The 17,787-nt window shown below is 64.6% G+C and overlaps 3 protein-coding genes across 17 annotated transcripts, besides 10 other annotated features; all 3 read left to right on the top strand.

The window, feature by feature from the left end:
* CYSRT1 (cysteine rich tail 1) lies at window positions 1,675-2,816 on the top strand. The gene is made up of 2 exons (NM_199001.5): window positions 1,675-1,734; window positions 2,115-2,816. The coding sequence occupies exon 2, from the start codon at window positions 2,123-2,125 to the stop codon at window positions 2,555-2,557; it is 435 nt and encodes a 144-aa protein (NP_945352.4). The 5' UTR covers window positions 1,675-1,734; window positions 2,115-2,122; the 3' UTR covers window positions 2,558-2,816.
* Window positions 3,672-4,172: an enhancer, noted in NCBI's record as "H3K4me1 hESC enhancer chr9:140121623-140122123 (GRCh37/hg19 assembly coordinates)". NCBI's record gives its function as "activates a minimal SCP1, AML or CMV promoter by ChIP-STARR-seq in primed H9 embryonic stem cells {active_cell/tissue: H9 hESC(primed)}" and the evidence as "EXISTENCE:reporter gene assay evidence [ECO:0000049][PMID:30033119]".
* Window positions 3,672-4,931: a biological region, named in NCBI's record as "hESC enhancers GRCh37_chr9:140121623-140122123 and GRCh37_chr9:140122257-140122882".
* Window positions 3,962-4,111: an enhancer, noted in NCBI's record as "active region_29348". NCBI's record gives its function as "activates an Ori minimal core promoter by ATAC-STARR-seq in GM12878 lymphoblastoid cells {active_cell/tissue: GM12878}" and the evidence as "EXISTENCE:reporter gene assay evidence [ECO:0000049][PMID:35858748]".
* RNF224 (ring finger protein 224) lies at window positions 4,003-6,141 on the top strand. Its single transcript, NM_001190228.2, has 3 exons — window positions 4,003-4,362; window positions 4,653-4,842; window positions 5,123-6,141. The coding sequence occupies exons 2-3, from the start codon at window positions 4,837-4,839 to the stop codon at window positions 5,585-5,587; spliced, it is 471 nt and encodes a 156-aa protein (NP_001177157.1). The 5' UTR covers window positions 4,003-4,362; window positions 4,653-4,836; the 3' UTR covers window positions 5,588-6,141.
* Window positions 4,098-4,392: a silencer, noted in NCBI's record as "tiled region #5016; K562 Repressive DNase matched - State 8:EnhW". NCBI's record gives its function as "represses a minimal TATA promoter and a strong SV40 promoter by Sharpr-MPRA in K562 cells {active_cell/tissue: K562}" and the evidence as "EXISTENCE:reporter gene assay evidence [ECO:0000049][PMID:27701403]".
* Window positions 4,212-4,281: a silencer, noted in NCBI's record as "silent region_20595". NCBI's record gives its function as "represses an Ori minimal core promoter by ATAC-STARR-seq in GM12878 lymphoblastoid cells {active_cell/tissue: GM12878}" and the evidence as "EXISTENCE:reporter gene assay evidence [ECO:0000049][PMID:35858748]".
* Window positions 4,306-4,931: an enhancer, noted in NCBI's record as "H3K27ac-H3K4me1 hESC enhancer chr9:140122257-140122882 (GRCh37/hg19 assembly coordinates)". NCBI's record gives its function as "activates a minimal SCP1, AML or CMV promoter by ChIP-STARR-seq in primed H9 embryonic stem cells {active_cell/tissue: H9 hESC(primed)}" and the evidence as "EXISTENCE:reporter gene assay evidence [ECO:0000049][PMID:30033119]".
* Window positions 6,199-6,699: an enhancer, noted in NCBI's record as "H3K27ac-H3K4me1 hESC enhancer chr9:140124150-140124650 (GRCh37/hg19 assembly coordinates)". NCBI's record gives its function as "activates a minimal SCP1, AML or CMV promoter by ChIP-STARR-seq in primed H9 embryonic stem cells {active_cell/tissue: H9 hESC(primed)}" and the evidence as "EXISTENCE:reporter gene assay evidence [ECO:0000049][PMID:30033119]".
* SLC34A3 (solute carrier family 34 member 3) lies at window positions 6,231-13,056 on the top strand. Of its 15 annotated transcripts, none has more exons than XM_047422793.1 (13): window positions 6,231-6,610; window positions 8,165-8,288; window positions 8,573-8,662; window positions 9,076-9,204; window positions 9,285-9,428; window positions 9,505-9,616; window positions 9,710-9,905; window positions 10,134-10,223; window positions 10,364-10,442; window positions 10,610-10,777; window positions 10,917-11,033; window positions 11,108-11,232; window positions 12,453-13,056. In XM_047422793.1, exons 2-13 carry the CDS (start codon window positions 8,204-8,206, stop codon window positions 12,915-12,917), a joined length of 1,800 nt encoding a protein of 599 aa, XP_047278749.1. In that variant the 5' UTR covers window positions 6,231-6,610; window positions 8,165-8,203; the 3' UTR covers window positions 12,918-13,056. The 15 variants fall into 15 exon arrangements, with proteins under 15 accessions (XP_047278749.1, NP_001170788.2, NP_001170787.2 ...); NM_001177317.2 differs by lacking the exon at window positions 6,231-6,610 and adding an exon at window positions 7,258-7,439 and having other exon boundaries at window positions 8,162-8,288; NM_001177316.2 differs by lacking the exon at window positions 6,231-6,610 and adding an exon at window positions 7,402-7,439.
* Window positions 12,864-13,193: a silencer, noted in NCBI's record as "silent region_20596". NCBI's record gives its function as "represses an Ori minimal core promoter by ATAC-STARR-seq in GM12878 lymphoblastoid cells {active_cell/tissue: GM12878}" and the evidence as "EXISTENCE:reporter gene assay evidence [ECO:0000049][PMID:35858748]".
* Window positions 13,214-13,443: a silencer, noted in NCBI's record as "silent region_20597". NCBI's record gives its function as "represses an Ori minimal core promoter by ATAC-STARR-seq in GM12878 lymphoblastoid cells {active_cell/tissue: GM12878}" and the evidence as "EXISTENCE:reporter gene assay evidence [ECO:0000049][PMID:35858748]".
* Window positions 16,813-17,632: a silencer, noted in NCBI's record as "silent region_20598". NCBI's record gives its function as "represses an Ori minimal core promoter by ATAC-STARR-seq in GM12878 lymphoblastoid cells {active_cell/tissue: GM12878}" and the evidence as "EXISTENCE:reporter gene assay evidence [ECO:0000049][PMID:35858748]".

A 17,787-nucleotide genomic window follows, 5' to 3' on the forward strand; every position in this document is an offset into this window, starting at 1 on the left:
TTCAGACCCGCCATTCAGAGCTGGAGAACCCCAAGCCGAGTATTGGTCACATCCGAACCGGGTCTTTCGGGAAACCCCGGAGCGCGTGGGCTTCTGGGCAATAATATTTCCACGGCCGGTTCCTGCCTTGTTTGCGCATGCGCCATAGGCGCCACTCAAGTGGCAGGCAGGGAGGTGGGCGGGACTTCCGGCGCCTGCGCAGTGGACTTCCGTCGCCGGCCTCTCAAGTTTTGGGTCCCCAGGAGCACCCAGTTCTCCCCAAATCGGGGCCGGGTTGCCTGAACTCATGTCCCGACCGGTCTGACTGGCCCTACACAGGCCACGTCTGACTGGAACCCGCCCTTCCTGGTGCTCCCCTGGGCCCCAAGGGCCCCACTGCCGTGGGTCGTCCCCGCGGCACTCGCCAGTGCCCGCTGCACCCCTGCCTGCGCCGGTGCAGATGGAGCCTGGGTTCGGCTGGAGGCGGGGGGCCCAAGGTGGGGACGCTGGGGGGGCGCGTGTGGCCCCCACGCCCGCCAGCCAGAGGGTAACTGCAGTTTGAGAAATGAGCTAAAAATGTCAGTAGTGTCTAAAGCCCGTGTCACTGATTGTAAGATAAGACCTGTGACAAAACGTGCAAATCAAACATTTTTTATCAGTGAAAAAAGCAGAAAAGCCACTGGGCACGCTGGCTCACGCCTGGAATCCAGCACTTTGGGAGGTGGAGGCAGGCGGATCACTTCAGTCCAGGAGTTTGAGATGAGCCTAGGCAACATAGTGAGACCTACATCTCTATAAAGAATTAGCCGGCGTGGTGGTGCACCTGTAGTCCTTCCAGCTACTCAAGAGGCTGAGGTGGGAGGATCACTAGAGCCCAGGAGGTTGAGGCCGCAGTGAGCCAGATCATGCCACTGCACCCCAGCCTGGATGGCAGAGTGAGACCCTGTCTCAAAAATCGGCCGGGCGCGGTGGCTCACGCCTGTAATCCCAGCATTTTGGGAGGCCAAGGCAGGCGGATCACCTGAGGTCAGGAGTTGGAGACCAGTCTGGCCAACATGGTGAAACCCTGTTTCTACTAAAAATACAAAAAATTAGCCAGGCGTGGTGGTGGTTGCCTGTAATCCCAGCTACTCGGGAGGCTGAAGCAGGAGAATCGCTTGAACCCGGGAGGCAGAGGTTGCAGTGAGCCGAGATCGCGCAGCTGCACTCCAGCCTGGGCAACAGAGCAAGACTCCATCTCAGAAAAGAAGCAGAAAGCCTCCAAGAGCCAATGGCTCTCAAGCATCTTGGTCTCTGCTAAGAAGAGGCTCAGAGGCTTAGAAGCCCTGCCTCGCCGGGGCTTTGAGGTGTGTGAGCAATGGCTGGGGACTGCAGGCCCGGGAATCTGAGGGCCTCACCCCACTTCCTTTCCAGAGCCGTGACCTCAGGCTCACCTCCTGCCCTCCTCTCAGGCAAGCTGCAGATGCCCTTTAGGGCCCAGGCCATGCCCCGGATGTGAGGGGCTGAGTCACTGGTTTGGCAGTGCCCCTCAGAGCCCAGGCCTGGGCTGCCACCCACCTGAGGACGAGGGCTGGGCCAGCTGTCGTGCTCCAGTTGCTGGGGCCTCTTGGGATCTTGGGAACCCCATCTCTGAGCCCCGCCCCATGGCCCCGCCCCTCCCAAGGAGGGAAAAGGCGGCTGCCAGTCGCTCAACTCAGGCACTGGGACCTAGAGCTCAGAAGACCGAGAGGACAGACTGCCGTGTTGCCACCACAGGTAAGCCCTTGGCCGCCGGGACTGCCCTGAACTCAGGGGCACTGCAGGGTCAGCCCCCTTCTCTCCCATCTCTCAGCCTCCCCGACCCCATTCCCAGCTCCATCCCAGGACCAATGCCACCAGGGGAGGGGGAGGATCCCTGGCAGGGGTGGCAGCTGGGAGACACCGGCCCTTGCTGCTTGCTCACACTTGGCTCACACCCATGACACTAGCCTTGCACACACATTTGGAGGTGATGGCACCCCGGCACTGATGCCTTGGGGATGCTGAGCTTGGACGAGGCACGCTGCTCCTGGTGGGGGCTTTCCTGGGCCGCAGGCTCGTGGGCAGCCATCCCACTCCACTGAGTTCATGTCTGTCTTCTCTGCCCACCCCTGCAGGCTGGACCATGGACCCCCAAGAGATGGTCGTCAAGAACCCATATGCCCACATCAGCATCCCCCGGGCTCACCTGCGGCCTGACCTGGGGCAGCAGTTAGAGGTGGCTTCCACCTGTTCCTCATCCTCGGAGATGCAGCCCCTGCCAGTGGGGCCCTGTGCCCCAGAGCCAACCCACCTCTTGCAGCCGACCGAGGTCCCAGGGCCCAAGGGCGCCAAGGGTAACCAGGGGGCTGCCCCCATCCAGAACCAGCAGGCCTGGCAGCAGCCTGGCAACCCCTACAGCAGCAGTCAGCGCCAGGCCGGACTGACCTACGCTGGCCCTCCGCCCGCGGGGCGCGGGGATGACATCGCCCACCACTGCTGCTGCTGCCCCTGCTGCCACTGCTGCCACTGCCCCCCCTTCTGCCGCTGCCACAGCTGCTGCTGCTGTGTCATCTCCTAGCCCAGCCCACCCTGCCAGGGCCAGGACCCAGACTTCAGCAAATGTGGCTCACACAGTGCCGGGACATGCCGGGACATGCGGGGTGGCTGTTGTCATGGGCGTCTGCCCCTTCACACCAGGCACTGGGGCTCAGACCCACCAGGAAGGTGGCCGTTCAGCCCGAGCTCCTGAAACGGAATCCCAGGTCCTGGCTGGAGAGGGACACCCCTGATTACCTTAAGGCCCAGGCAATAAAGCAGGGTGATCTTCCTCCCAGCAATTCTTCTTTGCTGCAGGCTCCTTTGGGAGGGGGTTGTAGCTGGACACAGGGCATCTGCCCCTTTATGTGGACCCGAGAACACACACACACAGTCACTGTGGACACTGCAAGGACAGGGATGCCACTGCCTCATGACGTCCACACTTTCCCCTGGCCTGCAAGTCCCGGGTCTGCCCAGAGACTGCACGAGGGCTTGCAGCGTGTCCACAGCCCTAGCTGAGCCAGGTCTGGATTTGAGCTGACCTGCGCTCCCTGGGGCCGAGACTGAGACTGTGAGCTGGGGTCAGTCCATGGGTCGGACAGCAGGAGGATACAGCGCATGGAACTGGGGGGACCCCAGGAAAGGCCTCCAAGAGAAGGAGCGTGTCGACAAGAGGGTGGTGGGTGCAGCAGGTGCTGCAGGTTTCAGGGAGTGGAAGGTTGGGACAGGAGAGCCCAGACAGCCAGGACCACGCCCTGCCCACTGGTGATTCACCTCCCAACCTCAGCTGGGATGTTTTTCTAGTTTCCCAGGAAATATCTAATTCCTGCACACCTCCTGTCCTGCCTCGGGGCCTGGGCTTCCGGGAGGAGGTGGCCTGGACCAGGCCTTGAGGATGAGGCAGGAGGAGGCTGGGGCCGTGGGTGCTGGGCCGTCTCCTGGTCTGCTGAGCAGGGTGGGGGCCTCTCTGGGGCTGAGCACCAGGCGCTAGGCTGCTCTGCGCAGGTACTGCCTCACCACTGTAAGCCAGGATGCCAGGCAGGGAGTGAGCATTGAGGCCAGCTTGGGGCGCCCTGGTGTTCCGGGCAGGGCAGAGACAAGGCGAGGAGGTGGCAGCCGAGCTGGCCACGCAGGACAGACGGGTCCTCACGCCATGCCAGCCCTTCCCTGACGCATGGTGACCAGCTCCACAGCAGGGCAGGGCAGGCGCGTGGCATGCAGAGGTCTCCAGGCGTGGGACAGATGGGTCACTGCCCTGACCCTGTGCCAGGACTTAGCGTGCCAGGCTCCCCGCCTTGCCCCGTTGCTGGCCCCCACCAGAGGGTGACCACACCCAGGCCAGCCACGAGAACTTGTCTGACCAGTCCTGGGGGCAGACTGCCAAGAAGGTGGGCAGGGGTGAGGAGGGGCCATTTGCTTCCACCCAGCGGGGCTGTGAGTGGTTCTGGGGTCCTGCCCACCTGTCCCAACCCTTCTTGGTCCCTCAACTCTGCTCTGCCTGCAGTCTGGTGTGGACACACTGATCATACCTCCCGGAACCTGGGCCTCCCAGGGTGGCCTGGAGGCTGCAGACGGGCAGAGCAGCCAGGAGCTGCCCACCAAGGAGGCGTCTGGCACTGTCTGGGGTCCCGAGCTGGGAGCGGGGATCCCCAGACACGGAGCTGGTGCGCCACCTGGAGTCCATGTGGACTGGTGCAGCCCTCTGCCGTCCAGCCGGCATCAAGGTGAGGCTGAGAAGCCACACAGATCCACAGACAAGCACAGTGGCAAAGTCTGCAGAAGGCTCTGAGCCAGGAGGGAACCCTGGCAGGCTTCCTAGAGGAGGAGATGTGAGCAGAGGCCAAGGCAGGAAAACATTCCAGTATGGAGGGGAGGTTAAGGGAAGGAGAGGGTAAGAGTGAGGGAGCGGAGGGAAGGGGAGGGGAGGGGGAGGGGGAGGGTGGGGGAGGGGAGAGGTGAGGGAGGTTTTGAGTGTGGCGAAGGGTGTGAGCGTGCTGAGAAGCCCTAAGAGTGGGGAAATGGACCCCAAGGCCAGCCTGGATAAGGTGTTAGCAGAAGCTGGCTGGGTCTGGACAGGAGGGGGTGGGCAGGGGGCGGGGGGCACCTTATCTCTTGCAAGTGGGTGGTGCCGTTAGATCTAGTTTCAAGGCTTTGTGGCTGAAACGGGAGCCCACGCCCGCCACAGCTGGCCACCTGCCTCTCTCCTGACTCCCGTGCAAGGCCAGTAATGCAACCCAGGAGGGAGCCGCAGGGCGCCCTGGGTCCCCCACTCCCTTCTCCGGCCACCCCGTGGCTGTGCATAGCTGCCCAGCAGAGCCCATGCAGGTAAGAGGCCTGGGCTCAGGTCGGCCAGGAGGGTGGGGGCCTGGAGCTGGGCCAGGGTGGTGCTGCGGGAACAGGAGGCTGCCCGGCTGGTGCCCACATGAACCAGAAGTGTGCAGACCCTGGTTCTGCCTGTGCCCGGTGCCACGCTCCCTCCCAGGTCTGCACGCACCACCCCCACAGACCCAGCGCCTGACCTCTGGGGTGGGCTCCTGGGGCCAGCACCCCATCCAGGCGGAAGGTCCTCGAGGCAGGCTGTCCACCGCTGGCTTCCCTCTGGCAGGATGCTGCAGCCGGAGGGCCCCCAGGCCTCGGAGGAGGGGGGCCCCCGGAGGAGAGGACAGACTGCATCATCTGCTGCTCGGCCTATGACCTCTCCGGGCACCTGCCCCGCCGCCTCTACTGTGGACACACCTTCTGCCAGGCGTGTGTGCGGCGGCTGGACACACCGGCGCCCGAGCAGCGCTGGATCCCCTGTCCGCAGTGCCGTCAGAGCACGCCCACGCCTCGCGGAGGGGTGGCCATGCTAGACCTGGACCTGGCTGCTTTCCTGGCGGTCAAGGCTGAGCGGGAGCCGGCAAGACTAGAACCCCTGCCCCTCACCTCCCTCAAAGGCAGCGCCATCACTCGGCAGCCAGCTGGGCTGTGCCCTGCCCTGGGACCCCAGCCCCACTTCCCCCAGCCCAGATACTGCTGCTGGGGCTGTGGCAGCCTCTGCTGCCCACCCCTAGGCAGCCCCGAGGTCTGAACTCTGGCCATTCCCACCCCTGCAGGGGAAATGCCTGCCTTGGAACCCCTGACCACACACCATCATGGGTTCAGCCCACTCAGAACAACCTGGCAGTAGCATCCTATACGCAGCTTCGTGTGGCCCAGCAGGGTGGTGTCATCCCAGCCGTGAACATCCCAGGCCACAGCCTAAGGTTGGGGGCTGGGAGGCTCCGCAGGAGGCTGGTGACCTCCCACCTGTCCTGGCCACAATTACCAGACCCCAGACTAGCCCGACCGGATGTGCCTGGTGAGGACACTGCTGTCTGAGTGGGCGGCAAGCCTGGCTTGGGCCTAGACGCAGCGCAAAGGATGGCTCCCAAGAGGATGCGAAGGCGTCCCGGGGGCCTGGGCTGCAGGCTGGAGGGGCAGGGCCGGTCTGGCTATGCCTGGCGGGCTGCCCAGAGCAGGTCTCCCCTCTCCCACAGACGTCCCCGGGGTGTACCGGGAGGGTGGCAAGACTACCTCCTTCCTCCCTGCCCTGCATGGCAGCCCTGTGAATTCACCCACTCAACAAAGCTCATGGAGTTCCCACTGTGTGTCGGGTGCGGTTCTGGGAGGGTCTCGTGTAGGCACGAAGCCATACAGGCATTGAAGGGGATGCCTCGGCGGGGCCTGCCTGAGGCCAACAGAGGGCTGGGGCCTGCTTGAGGTCTCACAGCCCAGTTGGTCTCATCCTTCGCTGAACCTTTCCTGGCTCCGAGCAGCCACCACACAGACCCTTTTGAGGGGCCGGGGCTGGGGCTGGGGCCAGACTGTGGACAGCAGTTACCACCAAGTCAGTGCTGCAACACCCCCACCCCCACTGGAACGAGCTGTCACTCAGGAGCCCCAGGGAAGGACTGCTGCCCCCCACCCCCAGAGCAAGGGCGCAGGAGGGAGACGGAAGAGAATTTGCTGAGCGGACACTCAGAAGCTTCTACCTTCTCCAGGGCAAAGTCCCCATGCACACAGCGGGGGCTGGGCAGCAAGCAAAGCAGGGCACCAGCAGCCCCTGGGCAGGGTGAGCCTCTGGGGGAGCTGCCCCGCACCCCAGGGCAGGAAGAGGCCCAGTCCTCCTAGGGGACACCCCACAGGCGGTGGGGCCAGCTGGGACTCCGCTGGGGAGAACTGTGCGCTGGGCCAGGCAGCGGGTGGGGAAGGTGGCCTGGGGAGCTCTGTCCTCCCCTCTGCAGATGGAGGCTGCCGGCCGCCGTCGCTGGCTATACCAGGGCCGAGCCCGCTAGCAGCCTGCTGGGCCCAACCCTGCCCTGAACCCGGATCTGAACCCTCTGACCTCGGGCTGGGTGCCCTCCCCGGCTACGTGAAAAAGCCCGTCCTCCCCCACCACCTGGTGCAAAGGGCTTCCCTCCCCTGCTCTGCCGAGGGCAGGGATGACCCTGAGAAGGTCTGGGGAGCCCTGAGGTGCATGGAAGTGGGGGACTGGCGTCTCTCGACTCCCGGGCAGCCCCAGCCATACTCTAGCATCCTGCCTGGCTGGGTGGAGTGTGTCTCTTGGGTCACACGGATGCCTGCTGAGGATGCCCAGTACCGAGGGCCGGTGCCCCGCCCCGCAGTGCCCTCGGCCTGATTCAGAGCCCACCCCTGGGAGGAGCCCCACTCCAGGAGGGTTGGGCTGGGGCTTGGAGGTCCTAGCCACAGAGTGACAGGATGGAGACAAGGCCTAGGGGCCTTGGGGCCAGGAGGGTACCCCCGTGAGGGCCTGGGCTCCTGGGTAAACATTAATGGGCTCAGTACCCAGCAGGTCATGTGCGCGATCAGGGGATCTTTGACCTGCAACTGCTCCCGCCCCGTGTCTCCTCCCTGCAGGTGCCCCCTCACCACCCACACAGGTAGGAGCTCCTAGGACCAGGCTGAGGCCCAGGGACAGTGAGGCCGAGGCTGGGTGGCCTCCAGGCCAAGGGCTTGGGCCCCATCCTGAGTCTCCAGGACCCAAGGGCAAGAGACGCCAGGCTTGGGCAGCAGGAGGGAGGGTGAGGCACAGGACGCCTGGACCTGAGCCCAGGGCACTAGGTGGAGGGGTCCAGGTGGGGGGCCCCAGGGGTGGGGTGACCAGGCCCAGGAGGCTAAGGCAGCAGCTTCGGGGCCAGGAGCCTTGAAGTGGTGTGAGGACCCCACCTGCTCCCCATCACCAGGGCGTGGGGCCCTTATCAAGCCGAGACGTCACTGTTTAGTATCAAATGCCAAAGTCTAAGTCGGGACCATCCACAGTGTCCCCGATGACACCAGATAGGGGAGGTCCCCAGGTTCCCCAGCTCATGGCCTGCACCCTCGGCACTAGCCTTCCAGTCAGGACCAGCAAGGGAGCCGGGGAGCTGGAGCCCCTTCGAGTCTACCCCTGAAACTGGACTGGGCTCGCCTGACAACTGCCTGAGGTCATTGTAGCCATCCCCCTGTGGATGGAGAAAGGGGGATGGTCACTGAGGCCTGCAGGGCGTAGAGAGGGAGGGTGGCGGCCAAGGGCTCAATTCAGGGGACCCAGGGGTGTGAATCCAGCTTGTGAGGACAGGGCCGGGGCAGGAGGAAATGTCTCTGACACGCGCGTCCCCCCCAGCAGATCTAGACCTGGGCCTGGGTCTGTCCCTGCCCGAAATCCATGCCGAGTTCCCTTCCCGGCAGCCAGGTCCCCCACCCCACTCTGGACGCGGTTGACCTAGTGGAAAAGACTCTGAGGAATGAAGGTACCAGTGGCCCCTGTGCCCCAGGCCTTCACCAGTCTGACCACCCACCCCCCAGGCACTGGGCAGAGACAGGCCAGGTTTCCTGCGGGCCTCCCGGGGAACCCACAGGGCTCATGACGCCTCCACTCAGGTCCAGCCCAGCTGGAGCCCCATCTTCCCCGTTCCGTTTCTGTCCCTCACTCCAGGCCTCTTACGCCTCAGCCCGTCCTCCGGCCTGTGCCCTTGTGCCCCCAGTTGGAGGGAGGTGGTCCTGGAAACAGCCGTACTCAATTCTACCTCCACAGGGACCTCCAGTTCTGCTCCAGTCTTGGAGGAAGGGGACACAGACCCCTGGACCCTCCCTCAGCTGAAGGACACAAGCCAGCCCTGGAAAGGTGGGTCTGGAGGTTCCGGGGGTGGCAGGCTGGCAGGCCTCTGTCCCCAACGGGACTGGGGAGACAGAGCAGGGTGGGGCCTGCCCAAACAGGCTGTGTGTGGGGAACTCCGCCATGCAGGCCCCCTCTGGGGAGACACGTGTCCCTCAACCGGGTGTCTGTGCTGTCCTGGGGCAGACCGGCCACCTCTGCCCATCCGTCCCTCCCCTCCTGCTCCTGCGAGGGAGGGTCCCAAGGGCTTCTGGCTTGGAAAGGCAGGAACCCGGGCCCTGCCCTGGGGGTTACGGAAGAGGAGGAAATGGGACCCAGCCCTGTTGGAGACAGAGGAGAGAGGGGGCAGAGAATGAGGGGCCTGGGAGGGAGACCTGTCAGGGTGGAGGGCCAGCCAGGGACAGCCTGCCCTGTGTCCTCAGAGCTCCGCGTGGCCGGCAGGCTGCGCCGCGTGGCCGGCAGCGTCCTCAAGGCCTGCGGGCTCCTCGGCAGCCTGTACTTCTTCATCTGCTCTCTGGACGTCCTCAGCTCCGCCTTCCAGCTGCTGGGCAGTGAGTGACGGGACGGGTGCCCAGGGCGGGGCGGGCAACCAGCCCTCCGCAGCTTCAGCGCACCTCTCTTGCCGGTGTAGGCAAAGTGGCCGGAGACATCTTCAAGGACAACGTGGTGCTGTCCAACCCTGTGGCTGGACTGGTCATTGGCGTGCTGGTCACAGCCCTGGTGCAGAGTTCCAGCACGTCCTCCTCCATCGTGGTCAGCATGGTGGCTGCTAAGCGTGGGTGCACACTCCCTCCCCGGGTGGTGGGGGGGGCAGGGTGGGCCGCAGGCTGACTCAGCCCCCCCACCAGCAGTGCTGACTGTCCGGGTGTCTGTGCCCATCATCATGGGTGTCAACGTAGGCACATCCATCACCAGCACCCTGGTCTCAATGGCGCAGTCAGGGGACCGGGATGAATTTCAGAGGTGAGTTGTGGGTGGAAGGGCTGGGCTGGGGCTGCAGTGGCAGCCCCAGCCCGGGCCCCCCCACCTGACCCTGCCCACTCTCTGCGGCCACAGGGCTTTCAGCGGCTCGGCGGTGCACGGGATCTTCAACTGGCTCACAGTGCTGGTCCTGCTGCCACTGGAGAGCGCCACGGCCCTGCTGGAGAGGCTAAGTGAGCTAGCCCTGGGTGCCGCCAGCCTGACACCCAGGGCGCAGGCGCCCGACATCCTCAAGGTGCTGACGAAGCCGCTCACACACCTCATCGTGCAGGTGAGGACGGCCACCGCCCCCGCCCAGAGAGCCTGAGCAGGCCGGATGGGAGGAGGGGAGGCCCGCCCTGCCCTGATGGAGGGTCAGCGGAGGGTCTGGGCCCTGTCCTGGGACAGGGGAGGAGAGGGCAGCAGTGGGCAGGGCTGGGCTGGACCCCGCGGGCGCCAGAGCCCCGGGTGAGTCCTGAGAGAGGGTGCAGCACACCGTCACGACCCCTCTGGCCCCCAGTTGGACTCCGACATGATCATGAGCAGTGCCACAGGCAACGCCACTAACAGCAGTCTCATTAAGCACTGGTGCGGCACCACGGGGCAGCCGGTGAGGCACCCAACCCTAGGCCCTCACTGACCCCCAACCTCCCACCTGCTGAGTCATCCCGCCCCACCCACCCTCACCTCGAGCCCTCTGACCTCTGTCTGCCCACTGAGCCTGTCCTGAGTCCTCCCTGCCCTCCCCAGACCCAGGAGAACAGCAGCTGTGGCGCCTTCGGCCCGTGCACAGAGAAGAACAGCACAGCCCCGGCGGACAGGCTGCCCTGTGAGGCCCGGCCCACCCCAAGCCCCCTACACCCCCCACACTCCCCCTCACCGGCCCCTACATGGAGAGGAACAGCACAGCCCCGGCGGACAGGCTGCCCTGTGAGGCCCGGCCCACCCCGGCCCACCCCCCAGGCTCCCCCTCACCTGCCCCTGCCCTGCCCCCAGGCCGCCACCTGTTTGCGGGCACGGAGCTCACGGACCTGGCCGTGGGCTGCATCCTGCTGGCCGGCTCCCTGCTGGTGCTCTGCGGCTGCCTGGTCCTCATAGTCAAGCTGCTCAACTCTGTGCTGCGCGGCCGCGTGGCCCAGGTCGTGAGGACAGTCATCAATGCGGGTGAGGGCGTGGGAGGAGGTGCGGTGGCCAGGGCTGACCCAGCATCCCCCATAGACTTCCCCTTCCCACCAGGCTGACTCGGGGGCTACCTGGCCCTCCTTGTGGGCGCTGGCCAGGGCTGACCCGGCATCCCCCACAGACTTCCCCTTCCCGCTGGGCTGGCTCGGCGGCTACCTGGCCGTCCTCGCGGGCGCCGGCCTGACCTTCGCACTGCAGAGCAGCAGCGTCTTCACGGCGGCCGTCGTGCCCCTCATGGGTGAGCAGGCAGGACAGAGGCCTCGGGAACGGGGGCTCGGGCTGGGGTCCTGTGGTGACTCCCAGTTCCCCCAGGGGTCGGGGTGATCAGTCTGGACCGGGCGTACCCCCTCTTACTGGGCTCCAACATCGGCACCACTACCACAGCCCTGCTGGCTGCCCTGGCCAGCCCCGCAGACAGGATGCTCAGCGCCCTGCAGGTACTGTCCACCCTGCCCCGCTGCCAGAACTGGCCAGCTTCCTCTCAGCCCCACAGACAGGAGTGTGTCACCAGCCCCGGGGCCCTAGGCTGGCTGTGCCCCCGCCTTCCTGGACCCCTTCCCTGGCCGCCAGCCTCAGCCCTGCTGCTCTGCCTCCTTGGACCCCACAGGTCCTGCACACATTTCACACCCTCCCTGCGTCTCCTCCCTTGAGACCTCCTCACTTCCACATTTTCTCAGCTCTTTGCTGTGTCCCTGGGGGCCTGCCCCCAGCATCTCAGGGGGCTCTAAGCCCCTCTATTCCAGCACCCTCAGATGCTTTCCCCCAACCCCTGCTCCCTCAAGGAGCAGCCACTCACCTCCAGCAGGTCCCCATCTGGACGACCCTCCCAGCCCCCATTCCACATCTGCAAAGGCCGAGTCCCACCGATGCTGGGCCCTGCCCTGCCGCTGCCAGGGCTGTGATTCTGCCTCCAGGACACTTCCCCCAGTCTGAGCCCCCAGCTCTGTGCCCCAACCCCAGTCTCATTTAGTCCAGCTGGTTCTCCCTCTAAAACAGCCCGTCTGCGGCCTGCTGCCCGGAGGCCCAACAGGTTCAGCTCCCGAAACTCCGGGTCATGCTGCACCGCCGCTGACAGGAAGAGACAAGTGCGGCACCCCCTGGAACCCACGCTCGTTCTTCTTGCCTCTGCCCTGTCTCTATCCACTTAGACCCTCCCAGTGCAGGGTCCTGCTCCACCCCCTGCAGGAAGCCCTCCAGACTGCACCTGTGTGTGGACTCCTCCAAGTCCGGCAGCCCCTGGAGGGGCCCGTGACACTGTTCTCCCCTCCTGTGGCCCTGTGCCTCCTCCCCGCAGGGCCTGGACTGTGCAGGCTCAGCACACTGGGGACTGAGGAGACGGGGTCTCTTGGCAGGAGGCACAGGCAGAGCCAGGTCGGAAGGTGCTTCCCCCGCAGGTCCCCCTTGAGGGCAGCAGTGATGCAGTCAGTGCTCGGGGGTGCTGGGCTGGACTGCAGCTCCCAGGAGCGTGCGGGAGGCGTGCTGGGGAACATGTCCACATCTGGCCACAGCCCGCCTCCCAGACGGCCATCTCATCCGTGAAGCAGGATGAACTTCAGACTTGGCGCTCCTTCTGTAGGGTGGAGGAGGGCAGGGGTCCGGGGCCCCTGGTGACCCCACCTCGTTGGGCCCAGGCCCCTGACAGCCCCCTCGCCCCCAGGTCGCCCTCATCCACTTCTTCTTCAACCTGGCCGGCATCCTGCTGTGGTACCTGGTGCCTGCACTGCGGCTGCCCATCCCGCTGGCCAGGCACTTCGGGGTGGTGACCGCCCGTTACCGCTGGGTGGCTGGGGTCTACCTGCTGCTCGGATTCCTGCTGCTGCCCCTGGCGGCCTTCGGGCTCTCCCTGGCAGGGGGCATGGAGCTGGCCGCTGTCGGGGGTCCCCTGGTGGGGCTGGTGCTCCTCGTCATCCTGGTTACTGTCCTGCAGCGGCGCCGGCCGGCCTGGCTGCCTGTCCGCCTGCGCTCCTGGGCCTGGCTCCCCGTCTGGCTCCATTCTCTGGAGCCCTGGGACCGCCTGGTGACCCGCTGCTGCCCCTGCAACGTCTGCAGCCCCCCGAAGGCCACCACCAAAGAGGCCTACTGCTACGAGAACCCTGAGATCTTGGCCTCCCAGCAGTTGTGACGGGCAGTTGCTGAGCAGACCGCCCCACCCTCCCCGGCTGGGAGGGCTCTGGAGGGCCCTGGAGGGGGGGTCCCCGCGGCAGCTGACCTCCGGTCACCTGCTTCCCCTTCTGTGCAAATAAACCAGGCTGTTATCTGGGGTGGCGGTCCTCACTCCCCTAGACAGGGGCCGCCTGCGCAGGTGGGGGAAGCAGCCCGATGCTGCCTCCTGGTGGACACTCCGGGGCCTGGGGCTCAGGCACAGGAGCCCGCCCACCCCAAGGTGTGTTTCTCACGGCAGCCGCTGGGGACAGAAGCTCCCAAGGAATGGCGGGCCTGGGGGGGCGGGGACTTCCCACAGTGGGAGCTGGGGCCCCTCCTGGGGGCGCAGGGGAGAGCCCAGCCAGCAGGGAGCAGGGCCGGTGGTGCAGGGTGTGGGGGATCCCGGAGCTCCTCTGCCCCGGCGGATGTCATGGTTGGGGTGGGGACTGGAGTCCCATCAGGTGCGTGGGGTGTGAGAAGGGACCCTGACGGCTTGGAGGGCCAGGTGGTCCCAGAGGCACCACCTGTCTGTCTGCCCTCTGTGTCTCTCAGCCGGTCCTGGGCTGGGCCCCTCGGGGACACTTCTCTGCAGGGCTGGGCCACGGCAGGTGCTCAGCTCCCAGAACCCACCAGGAAGCCAGTCTCACCCGCCAGGCTGGGGCACACTGAGGCCTCCCACTGCCACGGAGAATGAGACCCTGTCCCGGGAAGGCCTGTCCGTGGGGTGGGCCCAGGAGGGCGGACAGCACCCATGGGGAGGACTTGGGGGCCAGGGGGCCCTCCCTCTGCTGTGTGGTCGGGTTTCCACACAGGAAGGCTTGTCTGCCAGCCAATGGGTAACTGGACACCTAGGAAGTTGAGGGGGGGCTCCTGCCACCTCTAGCCCAGAGCTGCCCACAGCCCTAACCCAACCCCCACTCCCGCCAAGGGAAGAAAGCCTTGGGTTACCCCAGAACTGGAGCATTCATTCAGGCACACAGAGACGGGTGGGTGAGGGGACGGTCCCATCAGGGACAGGTCTAGTTTGCTCATTTGAGTCTGCTGCTGTGGCCAGTCACGTTCTCCCTTCCAGAACTGCAGCCCTGTTGGGGGGCAGCTCTCTTCCCAGAGCCTCCCAGGATTGCCTGGTCAGACCCCACTAGGGGATAGAGGTGCAGCCACTCAGGAAGATGAGGCCTGAGGGGGCCCCACGGCCACTTCTCCTCTGTGGCTCTGTTCTTTTCTGCCCTCAGTTTCCCTTTGCCCCTGCTCATGACCCCCAGACCCTCTGTGCCCTTGGCCCCCAGTCTTCCCTGGGTCCTCTGCCCCAGCCACCCCTCAAACTCTTAGGCCTCCTGGGCCTTGGTTTCACCTACCGAGGGAGGTGACCACCTGCTCTGGGAGCCAGGGGTGCCTCAGGGGTGGGCTCCAGTGAGAATGGGACCCCCAGCAGCTAGAGCTTTGGTTCTCACAGCCCTGTGATTCTAGGACGCCCCTGTGGACCTGACATCAGCCTCATAGAACCGTCTGGCACCCCTGTAGGGGACAAGCCTGGCTAGCTCCCTGGGGAGCCTGAGGGGCCGGGGAGCTCCCCTGTCCTTTGGGGGGGGATCAGTGAGGCCCTTGTGGAGAGAGGGAGGAAGCACCCCATGCACCTGTCCTTCCAGGGCAGGTGAGGCCTCCCACAAAGGCTGGGCGTCTGGTCCTTTAAGGCAGCCAATACTGTCTGCCTGCTGTCCCTGCCTGGCGGTAACACACCCTCCCACTGGGACCATGGCCACCAGTAAACAGAGCCTTCGTTGTGGATCCTCCGACAGCTGCAGGAGGAGGAGGGCAGGTGCCCAGCACTCCCACAGCCACGCCTGCCCCGCTTCCCTGCCCTTCTGGCCCTCCTTGGACCACATCCTGCCTGGCCACAGACCCCAGGCCCAGGAGTTGGTCCTCCTGCCCCACACTATCCCGCCTCTCCATCCTGCAGCAGGGCACCTTGGCTCAGGGTGGGACCTACAGAGCCTTCCCCAACCAGTTTTGTGCAACAGGGGTGGCTGCTGTCCTTGTTGGGCTCAGGCCCAGGCTTCAGGGTGTCTACTGCTGTCTTGTCCCCAGCCAGTGTCCACCTCACCAGGGCAATGCAAGGGCAAAGTAGGCAAGCTGGTGCCATGGCGAGCTCTGGGGCTCTCACCTGGGCAGGTGACACCTGTGAAACGGGTGGCACACTGACCTCCCAGCCCTGTGGGCACTGGTCACAGGAAGCAGGGGCCTTTACTGGAGAGGGGTTGGGAGACTCTGACAAGGTGCAGGAATGCCACACACCTCAAAGAGCAGCCTCAGTTGGGCTCTGCACAGTTCACTGAGGAAAAAAACAGAGCTTCTCCTTCTCCCCTTTGTGACAACTCAATGTTATGAGACTCCAACATGTCCCTGACTACTGCCTGGACAGCTGAGCTACTCTGCAGGACCCCAGGATGCCCTGGGCACTAGGAGAAACCTGGGATGGCTGGCAGCAACCTGTGCACCCCTCAGGCCGCTGCAGGACCCCAGTCCCTCTGAGGGTCAAGGCCTGTGTCACAGTGGTCACTGGAAGCCAGGCCCGCCTTCCTGGGCTGATCTGTGGGGGAGGCCACCCTCCTGGACAGGATGGCAAACTGGCAACAGACCCCCGAGGAGTGAGCACAGCTGCAGGCCCTCGCCCCAGAAGGACAATGCTGATCCCCGCGCATGCTCCGGTGCTGCGTGTCCCGAGTTCTGGTATCGCGCATTATGTGGTGAAGACAGAGGTGCAGTCCCTCCAGGAAGAGAGAAATAAATAAGCAGATGTTGTTTCCAACAGCCTCCAATTGGGAGACAGATGCCCAGTGGCCAGAGCACAGGAGACTGTCAGGGCCGACCTGATGGTGTAATTTATTTAAAATGCTACAAAAATACAGCCAGGTGCAGTGGCTCATGCCTGTAATCCCAGCACTTTGGGAGGCCGAGGCGAATGAATCACAAGGTCAGTTCCAGACCAGCCTGGCCAAGATGGTGAAACCCCATCTCTATTAAAAATACAGAAATTAGCCGGGCGTGGTGGCGGGCGCCTGTAATCCCAGCTACTCGGGAGGCTGAGGCAGGAGAATCGCTTGAACCCGGGAGATGGAGGTTGCAGTGAGCCGAGATCATGCCACTGCACTCCAGCCTGAGCGACGGAGCCAGACTCTGTCTCAAAAAAAAAAAAAAAAAAAAATAGCCAGGCGTGGTGGTGCACACCTGTAGTTCCAGCTACTTGGGAAGGTGAGGCAGGCGAATTGCTTGAACCGGGGAGGCAGAGGTTGCAGCGAGCTGAGATTGCGCCACTGCACTCCAGCCTAGGCGACAAGAGCAAAACTCCATCTCAAAAAAAAAAGAAAAAAGCTACAAAAATGTAGAAGGCACGGCGGCTCATTCCCGTAAATCCGAGCACTTGGGGAGGCCGAGGCGGGCGGATCACTTGAGGTCAGGAGTTTCAGACCAGCTTGGCCAACATGGTGAAATCCCATTTCTACCAAAAATACAAAAATTAGCGGCGTGGTGGTGGGTGCCTGCAGTCCCACCTACTGGGGAGGCTGAGGCAGAAGAATCGCTTGAACCTGGGGGGGGGCGGGGAGCCAAGATCGCGCCACTGCACTCCAGCCCGGGAGACAGAGCGAGACTCTGTCTCAGAATAATAAATTAAGTAAAATAAAAATGCTGCAAAAATACAGCCCGTTTGTTTTTAAACAGGCGCAACCACATGTAATTCATTTTAAGTTTCTTTTCCCACCCAAGTAAAAATCAAGTCATAAATTAGGAAAAGCATTAACAGAAGTATGTTTCAGCCCCAGCGCGCTGACCTGTGGTTGGAATACCGGCCCTGGAGCCCGGAGGTCGGGGCCCACCCGCCGAGGGAGGTCTGGGCGCTGTCCTGGTCTCCACGGAGCTCGCGCACTCACGGGGCCGAGGCACCAAGGCGACCGGCGCAGAGCCAGCGCCGTCTCCACAACAGGGCAGGGCGCGCAGCTGCGGGGGAGGCCTCGCCCCTCCGCTCCCCTCCCCTGCCCTCCGCCCCGGCCCTCGGGGCGCGGCGTCCCCCACGTGCTCCCCTCACGCGACCGCGAGGGCAGTGGGCGTGCGGCACCCGGGAGCAGGAAACTCCGTGGCCTCTGCGGCTCTGTGGAGAGCTCCCCTCCACCGCCGCAGCCCCCGAGCCCGTGTATCTTCCTGCCTTTAAGGCATCGCAGCCTCCTCGGCCTGGAGGCCCCGGGCTCGCTCCGTGCGGACCCCGCTCCAGAACCCGCCCAGCGCGCAGATGCCGTGTCCCGGCGCAAGGCCAGAGAGGGCGCAACTCTGGACGTGGGGCCGCCACCGAGCCTGCCCTTCCCGGCTCCCGAAAGGCCCCGGGCTCAGAGCCAAGACTGCGCTTGCCCGAGGCCCGTCGGGCCCGCCCTCCCTCGGCGCCCCCAGCGCAGCTGCCCGCCGCCCGACCGGAAGCCCGCACTCGCGCCTGCGCCCCACCCCGTCCGCGCGCCGGCCGCGGCACTGCGGCGGTTACCAGGACGCTGAAGCAGCGCAGCCAATAGCGCCAGCCTGGCGGCGTGCTCCCGGCAGCCAGCCAATGAGACGGCAAATCAATCATTTGAAACACCCAATGGACGGAGCACTGCGGCGCCAGGAGGGGGATTGTGATAGGGAGATAGGAGGCTGCGGCTGACCAATAAAGACCAAACTGGCTTAAAAAGGCGGACCTTAGGCAGCTTGATTGACGGGGGCAAGGCCAATCAAACGAGGGAGCTTGCCAGCCTCGTTCTGGCAGCCCATTCCGAGACTAGCGGAGGCGGGCAGGGAGGGTATATAAGCGTTGGCGGAGCGTCGGTTGT

Source organism: Homo sapiens, chromosome 9 (genome assembly GCF_000001405.40).
Source record: "Homo sapiens chromosome 9, GRCh38.p14 Primary Assembly".
In the NCBI taxonomy this organism is placed as follows: Eukaryota; Metazoa; Chordata; class Mammalia; order Primates; family Hominidae; genus Homo; species Homo sapiens.